The sequence below is a fragment of the Homo sapiens genome, chromosome 1, assembly GCF_000001405.40.
Source record: "Homo sapiens chromosome 1, GRCh38.p14 Primary Assembly".
Taxonomy (NCBI): domain Eukaryota; kingdom Metazoa; phylum Chordata; class Mammalia; order Primates; family Hominidae; genus Homo; species Homo sapiens.
In genome coordinates, this window is record NC_000001.11 from 14979893 (window position 1) to 15000133 (window position 20241).

At 52.8% G+C, this 20241-nt stretch overlaps 1 protein-coding gene across 21 annotated transcripts in view, besides 1 other annotated feature; it reads left to right on the top strand.

The window, feature by feature from the left end:
* The window catches only part of KAZN (kazrin, periplakin interacting protein), a 1225220-nt gene that overhangs the window by 1087069 nt on the left and 117910 nt on the right, over positions 1-20241 (top strand). The gene's annotated exons all lie outside the window — the stretch shown is intronic.
* Positions 16201-16495: a silencer, noted in NCBI's record as "tiled region #10909; K562 Repressive DNase unmatched - State 5:Enh". NCBI's record gives its function as "represses a minimal TATA promoter and a strong SV40 promoter by Sharpr-MPRA in K562 cells {active_cell/tissue: K562}" and the evidence as "EXISTENCE:reporter gene assay evidence [ECO:0000049][PMID:27701403]".

A 20241-nucleotide genomic window follows, 5' to 3' on the forward strand; every position in this document is an offset into this window, starting at 1 on the left:
ATTTATTTACTTTTGAGACAGAGTCTCGCTCTGTTGCCCAGGCTGGAGTATAGTGGCGCAGTCTCGGCGCACTGCAACCTCCACCTCCTGGATTCAAGCAATTCTCCTGTCTCAGCCTCCTGAGTAGCTAGGACTACAGTTGCAAGCCACCACACCTGGCTAATTTTTGTATTTTTAGTAGAGATGGGGTTTCACCATATTGGTCTGGCTGGTCTCAAACTCCTGACCTCAGGTGATCTGCCCACCTCCACCTCCCAAAGTGCTGGGATTACAGGCATGAGCCACTGTGCCTGGCCATAAGTACCTATTTATTAAAGACCAGCTGTTTACTGTAAATATTTTACTAAGCTTAGAGTGGCCGTATCATTTGTTGTTTAAACTGGGAGAGTTTTGCAAGAGAAGAGGGCTCTATTAAAAGTTGTGTTGGGAGAGTGGGAGTCAACAGGGATTTCCCGAGACAGACAGGATCTGTAGCCTTGCCCAGTGCTCAGGATCTGAGTAGGCAGGCAGGTGTGTCAGGCAGGCATCCCAGGTCAGGGGATGGCATAGGCAAAAGTGTGCAGGCTGGACGTTCGTGCTACGCGCAGGTGACCATGAGGCAGCCTTGGGGCCCACCTGCCCCCCTGGACAGGAATAGGAACATCTGTCCATCTGCACCCCGACTCCTTGACCCAGAAACACATCCTCGACTCTGCTCCAGGCTCATCTGCATAGTCCAAGACCGTCTGCCTGTTCAGCATCGTGATTTGCGAGGACACAACAGGCCCCATTCTGTTTTTTATGGACCTGAAAAAGACATGATCTTTACCATGACAGAGAGGCAGGGGGTGTCTCGGAAACCATTCCGATGCCATGATAGACGGCAGGAAGCCGAGGCAGAGAAGGAAGTGGTTAAATCGTGGAGCACATCCTCAGTTGACACCAAAGGAACAATGCTTTCAGATCGAGGCCTCAGGAGGAAAAATGAGGGAGGCAGGAGGGGGAGGTGGGGTGGCTGGAGGAGGCTGGTGGCTCCTAGACTGCGTGTCTTCAGTGTGAGCCCCTGCAAGAGCATGTGACGCCCTGACAAGGCGGCGTAACCAGGCAACCGTCATTACTCATCCCCATGGCCACTGGGTCTTCCAGTGGAGCACCGTGCTCCTGGGGGTCAGGGCTCCCCAGAGGGACAGGGCAGCCTCCTCTGCAGAACAGCGGGGCCTGAGAGATGCCAGGAAAACGTGCTTGCTCCAAGAAGGGAGGGGAGAGTAGTTAGGAGCTGGAGGCCCAGCCTTGCCGGGAAAGTGGTGTGCCACAGCATAGCTGGGAGCTGGGGCCTAGCTCCCAACCCTGAATGCTTAGTGGGGTTTCTCGCTTTTTGCTGTCTCTGTTCCTAAAACGGATTTTTAAATTTCAAGTGCGTGCTTGACCCAGTAGCACAGTTCTGTGCATTAAAGACCTTAGCCCATGAAGCATAGACCAGTCTTGTGTGTTTTGTAAATCCATGTTTTTTAGGTATTAACAGAACTCCCACTAGCTTATATGGAGTTTTTATGCAAATTGGAAAAAGGTACCCACTCTGTGTAGACAGATAAGGAAAAGGTGCTCTTCTATCATTGAACACAGTCCTATGCAACCCCATAGCCTGGTGATCAGGCAGTGGTATCTGCATGCAACCCCATCTCTGGGGGGTTATAGCCCTGTGGCAGGTTTGCTGCGGAAGCAGAGAGATGCCTCCTCCTCCAGGTTGCCGGAGCCCTGCGCTAAGCTGCACAATATGACAAACACAATACTGGCTGCATTTCAGCTTCCACCTAACTCACCTATCAGGCACTTTTGGGCAGTACACAAGCTGTGCGACTGTCCATGGCAGCCCTGGGTATAAGTCACGGCCATCCTTGCTGGTTGTGGTTGGCATAAGGAGCAATACCCTCTGGATTTCATCTTAAAAGAATTTAAGGAAGAGAAAGGGGATGCAGTGCCTTTTCAACATACCCTGAGTTTGTTCAAACTAAAGACATGACCATGCCCCAGGTATAGCGTGCCATCCAGGGCACCTTTCTCACTTGGAGAAAGTGAGAGGTGAAGCACCTGTTAGGAGGGACTTACCCTGGCCTGTCAGCTGTGATCTAAATGAGGCTGTCCCCTGCATGGAGTTAACGTTTGCCTGGAGAGCCTGTGTGCCAGGCTGTCTGCATACGTGGTCCCATTTGATCCTCACAGCAGACCGGTGAGATGGGTCCTGTTATCATGCCGACTTTACAGTTGAGGTCACTGAGGCTCAGGGCTGGAAGGAACTTGCAGCAGACACACGGCTGGCAAGTGGAGGAGCCGGGTCAGCACTCCGGCCGTTCCAGCCCGCGATCCACACGCCTGACCACTGTACCTTAAAGACCAAACCCCTGTCTGTTGACACCTGAAGTTTCTCTGAGCCTTTAAAACGTGGCCTTTGGGTGGATGTGGGCGGGCTTGGGCATGGGACAGGGCATGGGACAGTGGTTCCCCACATGTTCCCTCTGAACTGGGGCCGCTGTTCTCAGCACCTGAGATTTTTTTTTTTTTTTTTTTTTTTTTTTTTTGAGATGGAGTGACACTCTGTCACCCAGTCTGGAGTGCAGTGGTGCAATCTCAGCTCACTGCAACCTCTGCCTCCCAGGTTCAGGCAATTCTCCTGCCTCAGCCTCCCCAGCAGCTGGGACTACAGGCATGCGCCACCACGCCCAGCTAATATTGTATTTAGTAGAGATGCGGTTTCACCATATTGGCTGTTCTGGTCTCGAACTCCTGACTTTGTAATCCACTCACCTTGGCCTCCCAAAGTGCTGGGATTACAGGCGTGAGCCACTGTGCCTGGCCAGCACCTGAGATCTTGAAAGGGATCCAGGCCCCTGTGTCAGCCAGGAGCCGGTGACCGGTGTTGTCAGGGAAGACCAGAGGCCTAGTGCTGGATCTTCCCACTGCCTGAATTTCCAGATATCTTCCTGTGGCCCGAGAGCCTGCCATGCGAAGCGCAGGTGCTGACCAAGGAGACAGAGGTCCCCATTAGTAAAGGTAGCCCGCACAGGCATCCTCTGGCTGGAACCTCTCCACCTCCTCCTTGGAGCAATGTTGAGGGTTGAGGGAGCTGCCGGCCCCGCAGCAGACGCCCTGCAGCTTGTCCTTGATCATGACAGCAAAAGGCTAACAAATCGCTTTTGCCTGCTGAAGGCAGCAGGGGGGCTTTTTATTCCAGAAATGAGAAGGGCATGCCTCTGAGGTTTCTCCAGAGACCCAAAGCACCCTTTCACCCATCCGCAGTGCCAGAATTTCATCTGAGTATTGTCTGCCTGCATTGTTCACACCAAGGTTCATGGGCGGGGTAAGGCTGTACACCCCCTACCTCCACCCCGGCAGGGATACTCAGCTTAGCACCTTCAGGATGGGCCCCGGACTTGACGCTAGAGCCGGAGCCTTGGTCCTAGGATTGGAAGTGGGCGCAGTAGATTCAGGCAGTCATCGAAAACGCAAATTAAAACAACCCTGAGATATCGTTGCTCGCCTATCAGGTTGGCAAAACCCCTAAAGTACACCAGCTGGCTCAGCTGGCAAGCCTGCAGGAAAATAGCGCCCTCACCTGTGGTCGGTGGAAATGCAAAGTGACGTGACCCCTGTGGGGGGAGCAAAATCACATATGCATTTACCCTTTGACTCATCACTGCTACTTCTAGGGATGTACCTTGAGGATAAAACTGCACAAATATGAAACAAGTCACTGCACAGTCTTTGTAGGATACATTCTAAAGCCTAAGAGAGGCCGGGCGTGGTGGCTCATACCTGTAATCCCAGCACCTTAGGAGGCTGAGGCAGGTGGATCACCTAAGGTCAGGAGTTTGAGACCAGCCTGGCCAACATGGTGAAACCCTGTCTCTACTGAAAATACAAAAATAAGCTGGGCGTGGTGGCACGCTTCTGTAATCCCAACTACTCAGGAGGCTGAGGCAGGAGAATCTCTTGAACCCGGGAGGTGGAGGTTGCAGTGAGCTGAGATCACGCCATTGCACTCCAGCCTGGGCAACAAGAACAAAACTCTGTCCCAAAAATAAATTAATTAAATTAAATTAAATTAATAAAGCCTAAAAGAATGGGAAGCAAATTTTGAAGTTTATATAGATTTGTAGGCAGTGCTTTGGAGTAGTAATTCTGAAATTATTTTGTGATTACAGAGTAGAGCAAATGTGGCTGGGCATAGTGACTCACACCTGTAATCCAAGCACTTTGGGAGGCCGAGGCAGGCAGATCACTTGAAGTCAGGAGTTTGAGACCAGCTTGGCAAAACTCCATCTCTACTAAAAATACAAAATGAGCCAGGCATGGTGGTGTGCACCTGTAGTCCCAGCTAGTCGGGAGGCTGAGCATCTACATGGGAGGCTGAGGAATGAGAATCACTTGAACCCAGGAGGCAGAGGTTGCAGTGAGCTGAGATCATGCCACTCCACTCCAGCCTGGGAAACAGGCAAGACTCTGTCTCAAAAAAAAGAAAAAAGAAAAACAGAGTAGAGCAAATAAGTAAATATATACTGTTAGGTACCAGGGTTCTCTCTGTGGGAAAAGGGCCTTCTCATATGGAATGGGGGAAGGCGGTGGATTGGAGTTGGGGCCATCATTATGCTCTTTTGATGGTATAAATATGCAATTGACAAGTCATAACCATAGAAAGAAGAGCAAGAAGCCATGTCCCCCTGTAGCAATGCATGTATCTAGTGCCCACATCTCTCTATTTCTTGATGCCAGTCTCCATCAGAAGGAGCCAGGTCTCCTTGGACAAGTGGAGGATGCCAGGCATGAGGCAGTGGAAAGTAAAATGCAACTAGAGCCCTTTGTCCTTCCAGAAAGCAAGAATGCATTCAAAGACAGATGGGTCCAAAAGACCCAGGCACTGGCTGAAAGGGACTCCTGCTGGCAAAGATGGGACAATTGAACATCCAATAAAATAATAAAAGAAATGGGTGATTCAAGGGGGAAAGGAGGGCCTGTAATCCCAGCACTTTGGGAGGCCAAGGCGGGCAGATCACGAGGTCAGGAGTTCAAGACCAGCCTGGCCAATATGATGAAACCTCGTCTCTACTACAAATACAAAAATTAGCCAGGCGTGGTGGTGCTCACCTGTAGTCCCAGCTACTCAGGAGGCTGAAGCAGAAGAATCGCTTGAACCCAGGAGGCAGAGGTTGCAGTGAGCCAAGATCATGCCACTGCACTCCAGCCTGGGCGACAGAGCAAGACTCTGTCTCAAAAAAAAAAAAAAAATGGTGGGGTCGGGGAGGAAGAGAAGAGATGAATGCTGATTAATAAACATAGAGGGACTGGGCCTGGTGGCTCACGCCTATAATCCCAGAACTTTGGTGGGAGGCCAAGGTGGGAGGCCAAGGTGGGAGGCCAAGGTGGGAGGCCAAGGTGGGAGAATCACATGAGCTGAGGAGTTTGAGACCAGGTTGGGCAACATAGGGAGACCTTGTCTCTATAAAACATTTTTAAAAATTAGCTGGGCATGGTGGCACTCACCTGTGGTCCCACACTCTGGGGGCTGAGGCAGGAGGATGGCTTAAGCCCAGGAGGCCAAGGCTGCAGTGAGCTGAGATCATGCCACTGCACTCCAGCCTGGGTGACACAGTGAGACCCTGCCTCAAAAATAAATAAATAAACAAACAAAGATGGAATGAAAGAATGAGAAGGCGTTACCAGTAATGGACAGACGGACATTATGGGCTTCCTGATGTGATGCTTTGAGAACACATTACCTGTGGGTTCGTTGGATTGAGGCAGGGCAGCTGACCTGGACTCTTCCAAAACTTCCATGTCATGAAAGACCCACAGAAGTGCCAGGCACGGTGGCCCATGCTTGTAATCCCAGCACTTTGGGAGGCTGAGGCAGGCGGATCATGAGGTCAAGAGTTCAAGACCAGCCTGGCCAACATAGTGAAACCCTCATCTCTACTAAGAATACAAAAATTAGCTGGGCGTGGTGGCACATGCCTGTAATCCCAGCTACTCACGAGGCTGAGGCCGGAAAATCACTTGAACCCAGGAGGCGGAGGCTGCAGTGAGCCAAGATCACGCCACTGCACTCCAGCCTGGGCGACAGAGCCAGACTCTGTCTCAAAAAAAAAAAAAAAAAAAAAAGGAAAGAAAGACCCACAGAAGGCAAAGAGAACCTTCTAGATTAAAGATTAAAGGACAATCAGGAGCCAGGAGAGTGGATTGCAACATGTAATCTCATTTGGGATCCTGGATCGGAGGGGTGAAAAAGCCATGAAAACCATTAAGGAGATGTTTGGAGAAGCTTGCATATGGACCTGCGTTCGATGATATTATTAACATCAGTGGGTAGTACAGTAATAAAACACATCACTAGCAGCTTTGAGAACCTGCAGTTCTCAGGGCGGTCCTCGTCCTGAGTGCTTGTCTTCTGGGCTCTGGCAGTTTAACAGCCTCGCTTTTGCAAAACGCCACCTCACCGTTATGTGCCTTGCACTGGCCAAGCTCTGGGAACAGATGTTAATCCTTGTTTGCAGAGAGGAAACTTGTGTACAGTGATATTACTTCTCTATATGAATATTTTAATATTAAGGCAGCAAATCCCAGAAAGTGCTGACCTGCTGCTTTTCTTGGTTGGTGCTTTCCAAGCAGTTCCGCAGTCCTGCTTGGTGCCAGCCTGAGCCAGGGCTGTGAAAGGAGTGTGTGGGCCACTGAGTACGGCTGGTATGGGTCTCTAGCATGACGCCCCCAACCCTCCTTGATGAGGCTCAAAAGAACCAAAAGGGAATAACCTGTCACCTTAATTTGAGGTCACTTCAAGAAAGTGAGGCTCAATTCCAAATCTAAGTCAAAGGGTCAGTTGTTTGTTGGGGTGGAGGGACTCTGTTGGAGCTCTGACTGGCTGCCTTCCCTGAGGTTGACATGGGGGCCATTGGACACCAATCACTGTGCCTGCCCTCACCCACATAATCAGTAGGTTCCCAATAAGCAGTGAATGGTCACTGCTATTTTTCTCTATCCAATTTAATCAAATTCACGGTAGCAGGCACTCTGCCAGGTGTCAGGAACACAGATAGTCATTCCAGAAATATCAATTGACCTCCGATGCATGCCAGGCCAGGGCTGGGCACTGAGGGTATCGAGTCCTGGTGGGCAGAGCAAACTGGGCAGTCTCCTCCAGCCCAGGCAGCGTAGAGGAGAAGCAAGGAATAAATAGGTGAATAGACAGTAAAAAGATGAGATGGTAATACATACTATGAAGGATTCAAATGGGAAGGCGCAGAAGAGAGTGTAGGGCTGCTTTGCACACGATTGCCAAAGAAGTTCTCTCTGGGCCGGGCACGGTGGCTCACGCTTGTAATCCCAGCACTTTGGGAGGCCAAGGTGGGCAGATCATGAGGTCAGGAGTTCGAGACCAGCCTGGCCAACATGGTGAAACCCCGTCTCTACTAAAGATACTAAAAATTAGCCGAGCATGGTGGCGAGCACCTGTAATCCCAGCTACTCAGGAGGCTGAGGCAGGAGAATCGCTTGAACCCAGGAGGTGGAGGTGGCAGTGAGCCGAGATTGTGCCACTGCACTCCAGCCTAGGTGACAGGGCAAGACTCCATCTCAATTAAAAAAAAAAAGTTCACTCTGGAACAGGAGCCTTTTATCCAAGACTGAAGGGAAGGAGGCCCCCGGAGCTCAGGGGAGGAACCTGCCAGGCAGGGAGAAGGCTGAGGACAGGAATGAGCTTCGCGTATGTTGGGGACCCAGAAGCCATTGTAGCTGGAAAGTGAAGGATGGAGAGGGAGCAGGAGATGAGGGGAGGGGCACTTTCATGCGGGGCTCTGCGGTCCTGGGTAAGGAGTTTGGATTTTGTGATCCACGTGGAAGGATGCGGGGAAGCCACTTGATCGGATTTCATTTTGAAGCAGTCCTCTAGCTGCTGCATTGAGAATAGATCAGGGGTGTAGGGATACGGGGCCCAGGCCGTTGGACTCTTCTAGCAGGACATATGATAGACACTCAGGCCAGGCTGCAGAAGCCACAGGACATGCTGGCAGGTTAGATGGAAACAGAAGAGAGGAGAAAATAGCAGGAGTTGGGCTTGAGCACCAGGTGCAAGTGAGGCCAGCTCTGGCCTGAGGGTACTAGGGAGCCATGGTGGGCTTTAGACAGGGAGTGATGGGATCAAACTGGGGCTTTGGAAGCTGGCCTGGGGTGCAGGGTGGAAGCAGGGAAACCAGTAGTGAGCAGGAAGTCCTGAGCCAAGAAAGGAGGAATATAAAGACAGGAGTGAGGCTCTCCCTTGAGAGGAAGAAGGAGCTGCAGGCAGGGCCTGCTTCCTGCTCCCATTTGGTCTCATGCCCCTACCCCAGCCCTGTCTGCACCATCAGCCCCATCTCTTCCTCCTCCCGGGGCTTCCTCCGTCACAGAACGCGCCCCTCCCCTGCGGGCAGCTGGCCGCATTCTCAGGCAGACACGGAGCCCCCAGGGGCATCTCTGTTTTCTCTCCCCACCCTGCTGGCTCAGCCTGAGCAGGACTAGGACTCACTTAAGGAATGAGGGCCGCCTGGCAGCTCCACCCGGCCCAGCCCTGCTGGAGGGAATCGTGATGAAGAACAGGGCAGCTGCACTGAGGGTGATGGCGTGCTGCCCTCAGAATTGCTTTTCTCGGCTCTAATTTTCCTGATGCGAGAAAAGCCAGTAACCCCGGGGTACATCCAATAGTCAGGACATGGTGCTGATTGGACTTGAAAAGTCCGTCCAGCCAGCTGTGCTTCTGATTATCCCTATTCTTAAGTATCTGTTTGGGCTGGGGCTGTCACTCCACTGATGCCCCCCCAGTTTACAAGGATGGTCCTTGGCCTGGGTGGCAGTCAGATGGTCAGATGTGCGGCTCAGCTGCAGGGGCCACTGAATTGTGTCGGGTCATGGAGAGGAGAGGGGCACCCAGCAAAAACCAGCTGCAGGCCACGGCCCTCCGGGGCTTCTCAGCCCTGGCAGCTCTGGGCACGCTTACCACTGCATGCGAGACCACCTTCCTTGGCCTGGATTCCTGGGGGAGGTCCTCGCACATGACCTTGTCTGGTAGCTGCAGTTTGTCCCTCGTTGTGCCACACTTTGCACCACCACCTTCAACAGCTACCTATTGAGGCCCCATCTAGGTGCTGGTGCCATCATGGTTCTGTCTTGACATCTGGGACAGCAGGCTTTCCTGGAGCCTCATGTACCTGCCTTCCCACACAAGCTCAGAGGAGCAGTTTAGCATTTCTCAGTGACTCGGGGTCACCCTGGGAACAGTCATCTTTGTACTTTAGAAAATGGCAGCTGGGCACGGTGGCTCACGCCTGTAATCCCAGCACTTTGGGAGGCCAAGGTAGGTGGATCACTTGAGGTCAGGAGTTCGAGACCAGCCAGGCCAACATGGTGAAACCCTGTCTCTACTAAAATACAAAAAATTAGCCAGGTTTGGTGGTGCACACCTGAAATCCCAGCTACTTGAGAGGCTGAGACAGGAGAATTGCTTTAACCCGGGAGCTGGAGGTTGCAGTGAGCTGAGATAGTGCCACTGCACTCCAGCCTGGGTGACACAGCAAGCCTCTGTTTCAAAAAAAGAAAAAAGAAAAAGGACTGTCACTTGTCTTCATCGTCATTGGACCTTCTGTCGTCCTTGATGGAGGCAGTACATTGGAGGGGTTGAGACTGTGGGCTCTGAGTTCAAATCCTGGCTCTGATGCACAGCATCTGCAGGACCTTGGGCCAGCTACTCAGCCCCTCTGTGACTCAGTTGGTTCATCTGCAGTGTGGGGGTAGTAGTAGAACCTGCCTGGGATTGACTAAGATCATATGTGTGAAGTGCTCGGGATGGTGGTGGGCTCCCAGGAAGAGCCGAGTGAGTGCTGACCATCCACCTCCTCCCTTGCTACCTGGTCTGTAGCTGCTTGCCTCTGTAGGTTGGAAATCCACAGCTGAGCTACATCAGAATCGAGCATTGCATGTTAGACGAGAGCAAGTGGTGCTGGCTGCAGAAGGCGCTTTGCATTGGAGCAGAGGAGATAGGCATCGATGTTTAACCAGTAGCTGCCGTGGGCTGGGGTGTGCACACTCTGTCTTGTTTGATACAGCAACTCTATGACATAGGTTTTATCACATTGCCATACAGGTGAAAAACCTGAGGCCGAGAGATATTCAGTAACCTGCTCAAAGCCACACAGCCGCTAATCCAGATGCAGGCCTGTCTCATTCCAAAGTCCAAGGTTGGGATCTCATTCCAAAGTCCAAAGGGAAGGGATCAGCAAACTGTGGCTGGCCCTTGGACCAAAACTGGCTCACCACTTGTTTTTGTTTGTTTGTTTGTTTTTTGTTTTTTTGGGAGACAGGGTCTGGCTCTGTCACCCAAGCTGGAGTGCAGTGGAGCGATCTCCGCTCACTGCAACCTCCACCTCCCAGGCTCAAGCAGTTCTCCCACCTCAGCCTCCCGAGTAGCTAGGACTACAGGCATGTACCACCATGCCCAGCTAATTTTTTGTATTTTGTATGGAGATGGGGTTTTTCCATGTTGCCCAGGCTAGTCTTTAACTCCTGGGCTCAAGCAATCCACCCGCCTTGGCCTCCCAAAGTGTTGTGATGACGGGCATGAGCCACCGCACCCAGCCTACCACCTGTTTTTATAAATAAAGTTTTATTGGAACACAGCCATGCCCATTTGTTTCACATATTTTCTGAGGCTGCTTTTGAGCGACAACAGCAGAGTCATTGCAGCAGAGACCATGAGCCCCTTCAATACTGACTCTCTGGCTCTTCCCAGTAAACCCTTGCCACCCTCCCTGCTCTGGAGCACGCCAGGTCTTGGGGGTCAGCTGCTTTCTGCCTGTTATATGTTGTTATGCCCCCTAAAAATTCACATGTTGAAGTCCTAACCCCCAGGACCTCAGAATATGACCTCACTTTGAGGCAGGGTCACTGCCAATGTGATGAATTAAGATGAAGTCGTACTGGAATAGGGTGAGGCCTGATCTAGTTTGCCTGATAAAAATGGATCAGGGGAAATGTAGCCACAGACACCCAGGGAAAACAGCAGGTGGGGATGAAGGCAAAGGTGGGGGTGATGTGTCTGCACACCAAGGAATGCTGGAGATTGCCAGAAGCTACGGGGAGGCCTAGAACAGAGTCTTTCTGCAGCCTCAGAAAGAACCAACCCTTGGCCGGGCGCAGAGGCTCGTGCCTGTAATCCTAGCACTTTGGGAGGCTGAGGCGGGCGGATCACCTGAGGTCAGGAGTTCGAGACCAGCCTGGCCAAAATGGCGAAACCCCATCTCTAATAAAAATACAAAAAATTATCCGGGCGTGGTGGTGGGCGCCTGTAATCCCAGATACTCGGGGAGGCTGAAGCAGGAGAATCGCTTGAACCCGAGAGGCGGGGGTTGCAGTGAGCCTAGATCGCACCACTGCACTCCAGCCTGGTGACAAAGAGACTCTGTGTCAAAAAAAAGAAGAAGAAACCAAAACTCACCCAACATGAGGCACCTTGATCTTGGACTCCTGTCCTCCAGAGCTACAAGCCACCCAGCATACAGGACTTTGTCACAGTGGCCCTGTCAGAATAATATCCTCTGCTGTTAGCCTCTTCCGTGTCCTTCCTAGGAGCCCGAGGAATGTGGGTGCAGGAAGTCTCACTCTAGATGCCTGGGATGGCCTCACCCTCAGAACCTTCTAGCTGCTTCTTTTGGATGATCTTCAGGTCCCATGTCCTTTTATTTGGGGGACCATGTGCATGGCCACACATACCCAGGTACACCTGAGCCCAAGGCTGGAGAGGCCAGGCTGGCCCCAGGGGGATTGGAGCACAGGGATTGATGCTGTGGTGAGCCATCCCTAGAGTCAGCCCTGCAGCAGATTCCGCCCTGGACCGCCAGAGCCTGGTCCCACGTGTCTTAGTCTTAGCTCTTCCCAGGATCCACTGATGCTCTAAACCCCTGACTTCTGGAGAGAGACAGAACATGAGAGGTTCTAGCCCTTCGACTGAGGAGTATCTGTGAATCAAACGCAGCAGCTTCCTTTTGCCTGGATATCCCTCGGTGCTTTCTCTGATGGACTGTGGGGTGGGGTTGTCACCATCACTGTGGCCTCCAGAATACACCTCTCTTTGCCTGGTGTCTGTGGCTTTTAACCTCATTCTGTTGGTCCTGGGTCACTGATGGCTCTGCCCAGCATGACAGTGAGTGCCCTGCACATGGGCAGGCACCATGAGTGGCTTGTCCATTACCGGGGCCCCAGCAGAAGGCCGAGCACGTAGGAGGTTCTTTTCTCCAGAATCACACATGTCCCTACCCGTGAGTGTGTGAGGAGCATCTGCAACATGTGACCTCCTCAGGGAGAAGCAGGGGAGGAGTCTTGAAGGAAGGACACAAGATGGGAGCACTCCAGGAATTAGGTTCTCCTGCAGTGGAGGGCAGACACACCTCTAATGCCCAGGGAGCATCCAGGGTCAGGTCCCTCACCCCGTGTGAGCACCGTGCCAGCCCGGGCCAAGGGTGAGGAGGAAAGTTGCAGAGACAAATAGGAACCAGTCCTGGCCATTATTCGATGAGGACCTGGGGTCCAAATTGAAAGAGCAGCCTTCAGAGATGCAAAGCCCAGTGGCCCCTCCTCCAGGGCTGTTGGCCACCGCTGTGAGCTCATCTCTTTGGACTGAAAAACAATTGGTCTTAGGAACAGCCCTTGGCACCTCAAGAGTAGAATGCCCAGGTACCTATCTGGGAGCCTTTATTGTTTTTTTGTTTTATTTTGTTTTGTTGAGAAGTTTAGCCCTATCGCCCAGGCTGGAGTGCAGCAGCGCAATCTCGTCTCACTGCAACCTCCATGTCCCGGGTTCGAGCGATTCTCCTGCCTCAGCCTCCCAAGTAGCTGGGATTATAGGCGCCCACCAACACGCCCAGATAATTTTTGTATTTTTAGTAGAGATGGGGTTTCATCATGTTGGCCAGACTGGTCTCGAACTCCTGGACTCAAGCGATCCACTCGCCTCAGCCTCCCAAAGTGCTGGGATTACAGGAATGAGCCACTGCACCCAGCCAAAATGGTTAAGATGGTAAATTTTATGATAGGTATATTTTTTTACCACAATTTTTTTTTTTCTAATAGAGACAGGATTTCACCATGTTGGCCTGGCTGGTCTCAAACTCCTAGCCTCAAGCAATTTGCCCACCTCGACCTCCCAAAGTGCTGGGATTACAGATGTGAGCCATCGCGCCCAGTCTGGGAGCCTTTGTATACCCAGCAAAGGTTACATAAGCAATTAAAAAAAAAAAAAAATCAGGCCAGGCGCGGTGGCTCACGCCTGTAATCCCAGCACTCTGGGAGGCCAAGGTGGGTGGATCACCTGAGGTCGGGAGTTCGAGACCAGCCTGACCAACATGGCGAAACACTGTCTCTACCAAAAATACAAAAAATTAGCCGGGCGTGGTGGCAGGAGCCTGTAATCCCAGCTACTGAGGAGGCTGAGGCAGGAGAATCACTTGAACCTGGGAGATGGAGGTTGCAGTGAGCCAAGATCACGCCATTGCACTCCAGCCTGGGCAACAAGAGCAAAACTCCATCTCAAAAAAAAAAATAATCATCATCATCATCATCAGTTCAGGTGGCGTCTGCCCCTAGCGGAAAGAATTCTACCAAGAGTCTGCAGACCTGGTCCCAGCCCTAACAAGCAGTGTTCTCGGCCTGCACTCTCCCCCACTCCCCGCCGCCACCCCCCTGCTGCCTCGACTCTCGTCTGGGAGGGGGGTGATCGCGCTGACCCTGGAGGCTTCACCCTGAGAGAGAAGGAAAAGAACTGGGCACTTCTGAGCCCAGGACTTCGCCCATCCTGGGTGCTCTTGATGTGTTCGTTGAGTCTTATGAGAGAGGGGTCACAAGCCCACACGTAAGTAATTATCTCCCAAGGTCAGAGGCAGAAGAGAGAACTTTGAGCCGTAATGACCCGGATGTGTGTGGCATTGGAGCTGGGCTTGAAGGATGAGGAGGGTTTCTTTGGGTGGGCAGGGAACAGGACAGGCACTCCATGCAGGCTTGTGGAAGGGAGATTACGGGGACTTCTGGGTGTGTTTGTGGTTTAATGCGTCCTCCCAGGTGCGACGTAGAGCTCTTAGGCATGGTCGCCTTTCCTGCTGGGGCGACAGTGGGCATCTCATAGTCCTCTGCTTTGATCCCTGGGCCCCCAGGCCATGGAAGCAGGTCCCCTCTGCAAGCCATCCTCAGAAGGGGAGCCCCTGGCAGCAGGGCCTGTGAATTGGGTCGGGCCATGGGGAGAATGGAGGAGGCACCAAGGAAAGATTGGCTGCAGGCCGTGGCCCTTGGGGACTTCTCAGCTCTGGCACCTCCGGGCACACTTGTACCACTGCATGCAAGACCACCTCCCTCAGCCTGGACTCTTGGGGGAGGTTCCCACACATGACATTTGCTGACAGCTGCAGTTTGCCCCTCATTGCGCCATACATTGTACCACTGCCTTCAACAGGTATCTACTAAGGCCCCGTTGTAGGTGCCAGTGCCATTGTGTTTCTGTTTTGCCATCTGAGACAGCAGGCTTTCCTAGAGGTTTGTGTACCCATCTTCCCATCCAGGCTGAGAGGAACACAGTTGAGCATTTCTCAGTGACTCCGGGTCACCCCGGGAATAGTCACCTTTGTACTTTGGACAATTTGGCTGCACAGTCTTTTTGGTTTTGCTTTTTCTCTTTTCCTTCCTCTTGGGCTGTGGACCATCACTTATCTGTTGTTCTTGGGCTTCCTCTCAGCGTCTTAGAGGCAGTGCCACGTGGGGAGTGGAGAATATGCTGTCTGGTTCAAATCCTGACTTTGGTGTGTAGCATTTACAGGTCCTTTTGCCAGGGACTCAGCCCCTCTGAGACTCCGTGTATTCATCGGCAAAGTGGGGATAATCAAACCTGCCTTATAAGAGGAACATGAGGATTGACTGATGTCACTTCAGCCAGTTCCTCTGGAGAGAAGTAGCCCCCCAGCCCTGAAGTGACACCCTCACTTTCTTCTTGCCCACTCTGCCATGCCTCAGACACAGCATGGAGTAGGCCGTGGGCCACCAAGGCCACCACTGATGTAGTGCTTAGCAGCGGGGCAGTTCTTGACTGGCAGGAGGAGGCTGAGTCAGTAGGGACATGGTCCTTGTGCATTTCACGCTGGGAAGGTTGGCTGGCCCCTCGGGAAGGGCAGCTGCCCTGGAGGAAGAGGGGAGCTGGAAGAGACAGAGTGTATGTCTTTAAAACGAGGCCTGAGCTCTGGGCAGTGCCCTCAGTTACATACCTGCTGTGATGCCAGTGCTGGGCCCTGGCCATCCTGTTCCACCTGTGAACTCACGTGACTTTTCATGGAGTTCCCTGCCAAGCCTGGCCTGGCATCTGCTGCTCCACATCCCGGTTCTCTTAGACCAGGCGCTCCAGGGACAATCTTCCTGGGTTGTGCTTCTCCCCTTCCCTTTGCTATCATAAAGAGACTGGTAACAGGCTGGGCACGGTGGATCACCTGAGGTGAGGAGTTCAAGACCAGCCTGGTCAACGTGGTAAAACCCCGTCTCTACCAAAAATACAAAAATTAGCCAGGCATGGTGGTGGGCACCTGTAATCCCAGCTACTCAGGAGGCTGAGGCAGGAGAATCGTTTGAAACCCTGGAGGCAGAGGTTGCAGTGAGCCCAGATTGCGCCACTGCACTCCAGCCTGGGCGACAGAGTGAGACTCCACCTCAAATAAAAAAAAAAAAAAATAGACTGGTAACAGCTTGTGGATTCCAGCATCTGCAGGGGCTCAGTGGGAGCTTTTGTTTGTCTCTGCTCCTCAACTTGCTCTTCTCTGGACTCTTCCAAAATGCCCCTTTCGGGAAGCTCTCTCCTGCCCAGCCCAGGTGCCTTTGGGTGCCTCGCCTGATTTATATTTACCTTCATTTATTCTAGGCTCTAAAACTGGTGACCGACAGAGAGATTTTCTTGAGTCTGCTTGGGGCTTTAAACATTTTCAAATTTGTTACCACCATTTAAAAGTTGGAAACTTTTACAGTGTGGATTTCCAACTTGTCCTGGAAAATAAGCCGGTCCGGCCACCTGGGTCAACAGTCAGCTGGACCCAAGGGCGGCTGCCCTATAAGACACCTAATGCCATCCTCAGCCCGCGGCCCTCTGTAGCCCCCAGCCCCTTCTGCCTCTGGAGAGGGTCCATACCCTGCACAGCAGACGCGAGTGTGCATGTCAGTTTCCAGGCTATTTTCTCACCGCAGAACTCACTGGGCCTTCTGGGTCTTGGCTCTTCATGCCCCGCCCACTCCACCCCCAGTGCCTGGCATCTTGAACAGGGGTCACTGGGTCGGCCTTTCTCTTTCTTGTTCCCGTGTGTCTCTGTCCACCCAGACCAGCAAGCAGGATGACTCACACCTTCCCTTCTGTTCCCTCAGTCCCTTCTCCCTGGGTCCTGACACTGGATTTTAACATATTGGGTTGCTTGGCTGTCCCGGCACATCATGGGGGCCTCAGAGGCAGGGACTGTGACTTAGTCATCACTGTATCATCAGACCCGGCACAGGGCCTGGCCTACAGTGGGTGCCCCAGGAATGTAGGGGGGATGGACGCCATGCTGAGAAAGCTGCCAAATTCCCCCACCTTGTTCTCCAAGGAGGTCCCCTGACCACACCTGCCTGCAGTGGGGAGAAGGCTTATGGCAACGCGTTTCTGCCGCCAGCACCCTCCCACGGGCGTGCAGATCTGACAAGATCAGGATCTGGGTCTGTGAGAGGCCCTGTGTCCCCTACATTCTCTACGCACGACCGAGGGCCATTCTTCCCTCACTGCCGGCCTCTCCCAGTCCCCAGGAGAAAGGGCTGATGCTCCCAAAGGCAGGCCACTTGCAGGAAGACACACCACGGAGCCTCCCCGCTCCTGGTGCTCCAGGGCCTGCATGTGGGGCACTGGGAGGGAGGGCCGTTTGCCTGCGGCCCCATGACCTCGCACCCACCTCCCTGCCTGACCTCACCGCCCCAGGAAGCTTAGTCACGTTGCCTTTTCTGTTCCTCAAATGCTCTGAGGCTGTGTGTTCCCCCAGGCACCCTGTGCTTTGCTGATCCCTGGGCCTGGAGTGCTTTTTTTCCCCAGCATTCCCTGATGCCTGGAGTTCCTGACTTCTCCTCATCCTTCCCAGCCTTAGCTGAAATGTCACCTGCTCGGAGAGGTCCTTCCTGAATTTTCCCTCACAAGATCTGCCCTGCATCCCCTCCCCTCCAGCGAGTCTCAGTTCCTTCATGCATTTCACAGACTCTGTTTTCTTTTCTTTCTTTCTTTCATTTATTTATTTATTTATTTATTTATTTATTTATTTATTTATTTATTTATTTTGAGACAAAGTTTCACTCTTGTTGCCCAGGCTGGAGTGCAATGGCGCGATCTCAGCTCACCAAAACCTCCACCTCCCGGGTTCGAGCGATTCTCCTGCCTCAGCCTCCCGAGTAGCTGGGATTACAGGCATGCGTCACCACACCCAGCTCATTTTGTATTTTTGGTAGAGTCAGGGTTTCTCCCTGTTGGTCAGGCTGGTCTCGCACTCCCGACCTCAGGTGATCCACCTGCCTCGGCCTCCCAAAGTGCTGGGATTACAGGTGTGAGCCACCGCACCTGGCCTTTCTGTTTTCTTTACTTGAGTTCCTGTTTATTGGCTGTCGGCTCCAGGAGAGCAGGGAGACGGTGTCTGATGTATCCCCAGCAGCCTCACACACCCAGAACAACGTGGATTCTCAGTAAATCCATGCGGAAAGCCTGTGTGGGGAAGTGGACAGCCCCCTGAGGGTGGAGGAGCAGGGGCTGGGCTGGGAGTTGGCAGCAGGGTTCAGAGCCTCATGGCTGATCAGGACCTGGGCACCTGGGGTCCACTGGGGCCTCACAGAGCAACAGCATCAGGTGGGCATGATCAGATCCCACCTCAGCTCCGCTACTTAGTTGCTGTGTGGCTTTGGGCAAGTTGCTTAACCTCTCTCAGCTCCAGCTTCCATCTGTGAAATGGATGTAGAACTTTCCAACTCATGTATGTGAGGAACTTGGGACAGACCACCCAGACAGGCTAAGCACTCAACGAGTCACTGTCGTTATTGAGCCTGGTTTTAATCGTGTTTGGTTTTGTCATGAGGCAGGCAGGAAGTCGAACTGTGGGTCTGTGCCCAGGAGCAGGGCAGGCCTCGGACACTCTCCAGTGGATGGGAACTGCCCCAGAAGCTCCTCAGCTGGCACAGACGGCGGGGGGGAGGGGCAGCGCGGGGGGTGCTCCCCTGCTGTTACTTCACTGATTCCCTGATGGTTTTCATGGTTTTGTGGCTAAAAGATGCTCCAAAGATTAGCCTGTGTGAAGGTTTGGGAATCCGCTGCAATATGGGAGCCTGGGCCTTCTCTGCGTCTTCTGTCTGCATCAACTCAAATATAGGTAAGGATGTTGCTCTCAGAAGACAGCCAGAGAAAGCCCACCTGAGGCAGAGAGGAGAGGCTGTGTGTATGTGGCGGGGGGACTTTGGGGGTTAGACCTTGAGGGTTCCTCTGGGTGCAGCACTGTTGCAGCCCAAACACTCTACCTGAATTAACTCATTCACCCTCATAATACCCTATGATGGAGGTGCTTTTATTGACTCCACTTCATTTATTTTTTATTTTTTTATTTTTTGAGATGGAATCTCACTCTGCTGCCCAGGCTGGAGTGCAGTGGTGCCATCTCAGCTCACGGCAACCTCTGCCTCCCGTGTTCAAGCCATTCTCCTGCCTCAACCTCCCGAGTAGCTGGGATTACAGGCGTGCACCACCACACCAGGCTAATTTTTGTATTTTTAGTAGAGACGGGGTTTCGCCATGTTGTTCAGGCTGGTCTCGAACTCCTGACCTCAGGGTGACCTGCCCACCTCGACCTCCCACAGTGCTGGGATTACAGGCGTGGGCCACCGCACCCAGCCCAACTCCACTTTAGACTGGAAAAACTGAGGCATGGAGAGGTGAAGATTCCCCAGCTTGGTAGAGCCTGGATTCAGACACAGGCTGTCAGGCTCAAGGACATGCACTGCCAGCCACCTTGCAGTCTGACTGGGAACAACAGTCACCAGGTATTTGTCATTAATTTAAACATTAATTTAAATTTAAACATTATCCAGGTGTGGTAGTGTCCACCTGTGATCCCAGCTACTTAGGAGGCCGAGGCAGGAGAATCGCTTGAGCCCAGGAGTTCGAGACTGCAGTGAGCCATGGTGGTGCCACTGTGCTCCAGCCTGGGTGACAGATGGAGACCTTGTCTCTAAATTCATGTGTTGAGCCTGGTTGCAGTTTGGGTGGTGAAGTAGAAAGGACACTGGTCTTGGAGTCAGGTGGATTGGTTGGAATCCCAGGTCTTACTGCGTGTGACTTTAGCCCAGTGATTTCACCTCCCCGAGCCTTCACTTTCCCATGGGATGATGGCCATGCTAATGCTTCCTTTGCAGGGCTTTCTGGAGGATAAAGCCAGGAGAGCATGGGAGGCCCTGCCTCCAAGGTGCTCACAATGCTCCTTCATTCCTTTTCTCCCTTGCTTCCTCCTACCCAGTGCGTTCAGCCCCAGGCATTGCCTGCCCCCCTCCCCCCGCCCCGCCATCCAGACCTTGACCTTGGCCTTGAGTTCCATGAGGCCTTCGGAAATGGCTTTGGCTGCTACCTCGGAGGGAGCTGCCCCGATCCACTTGCAGATCAGAATCTCCGGGCACCCCTTGCCAGGGCTTTCATGTTGTTGCTTTATTTCACAAGAACCCCGGCATTTGTTTAGCAACTGGGTGGAATTTTTAGAACTTAAAAGTAATTCTGCTCTTCGAGGAATGCGCCTGTGGATGTAACCCCAACTCAGGCCAGGCCTGGACCCAGAGGGAGTGGGCACTCTGCCCTGGGCCTCCCCACCTCCACATCTTTGCTCCAGTTGAATGCAGGACACCCTCAGTCTGCCCTGTCCGGCTTGACTTCTTCCCGCCTGCTGGTCTTGACCCCAGGGCAGGGGCTGGTGGGGTGGGCACAACAGTGTCAGCCTGTGGTAAGCTAAATAATGCCCGCCCCCCAAGATGTCCATGATATAATCCCTGGAACCTGTGGATATATTATATGGCAAGAGGGACTTTGCAGCTGTGACGGAGGATCTTGAGATGGGAAGATGATCTGGATTGTCTGGGTGGGCCCTGGGTAATCGTGGGGTACTTATAGAGGAAGGTTGGCAGATCAGAGAG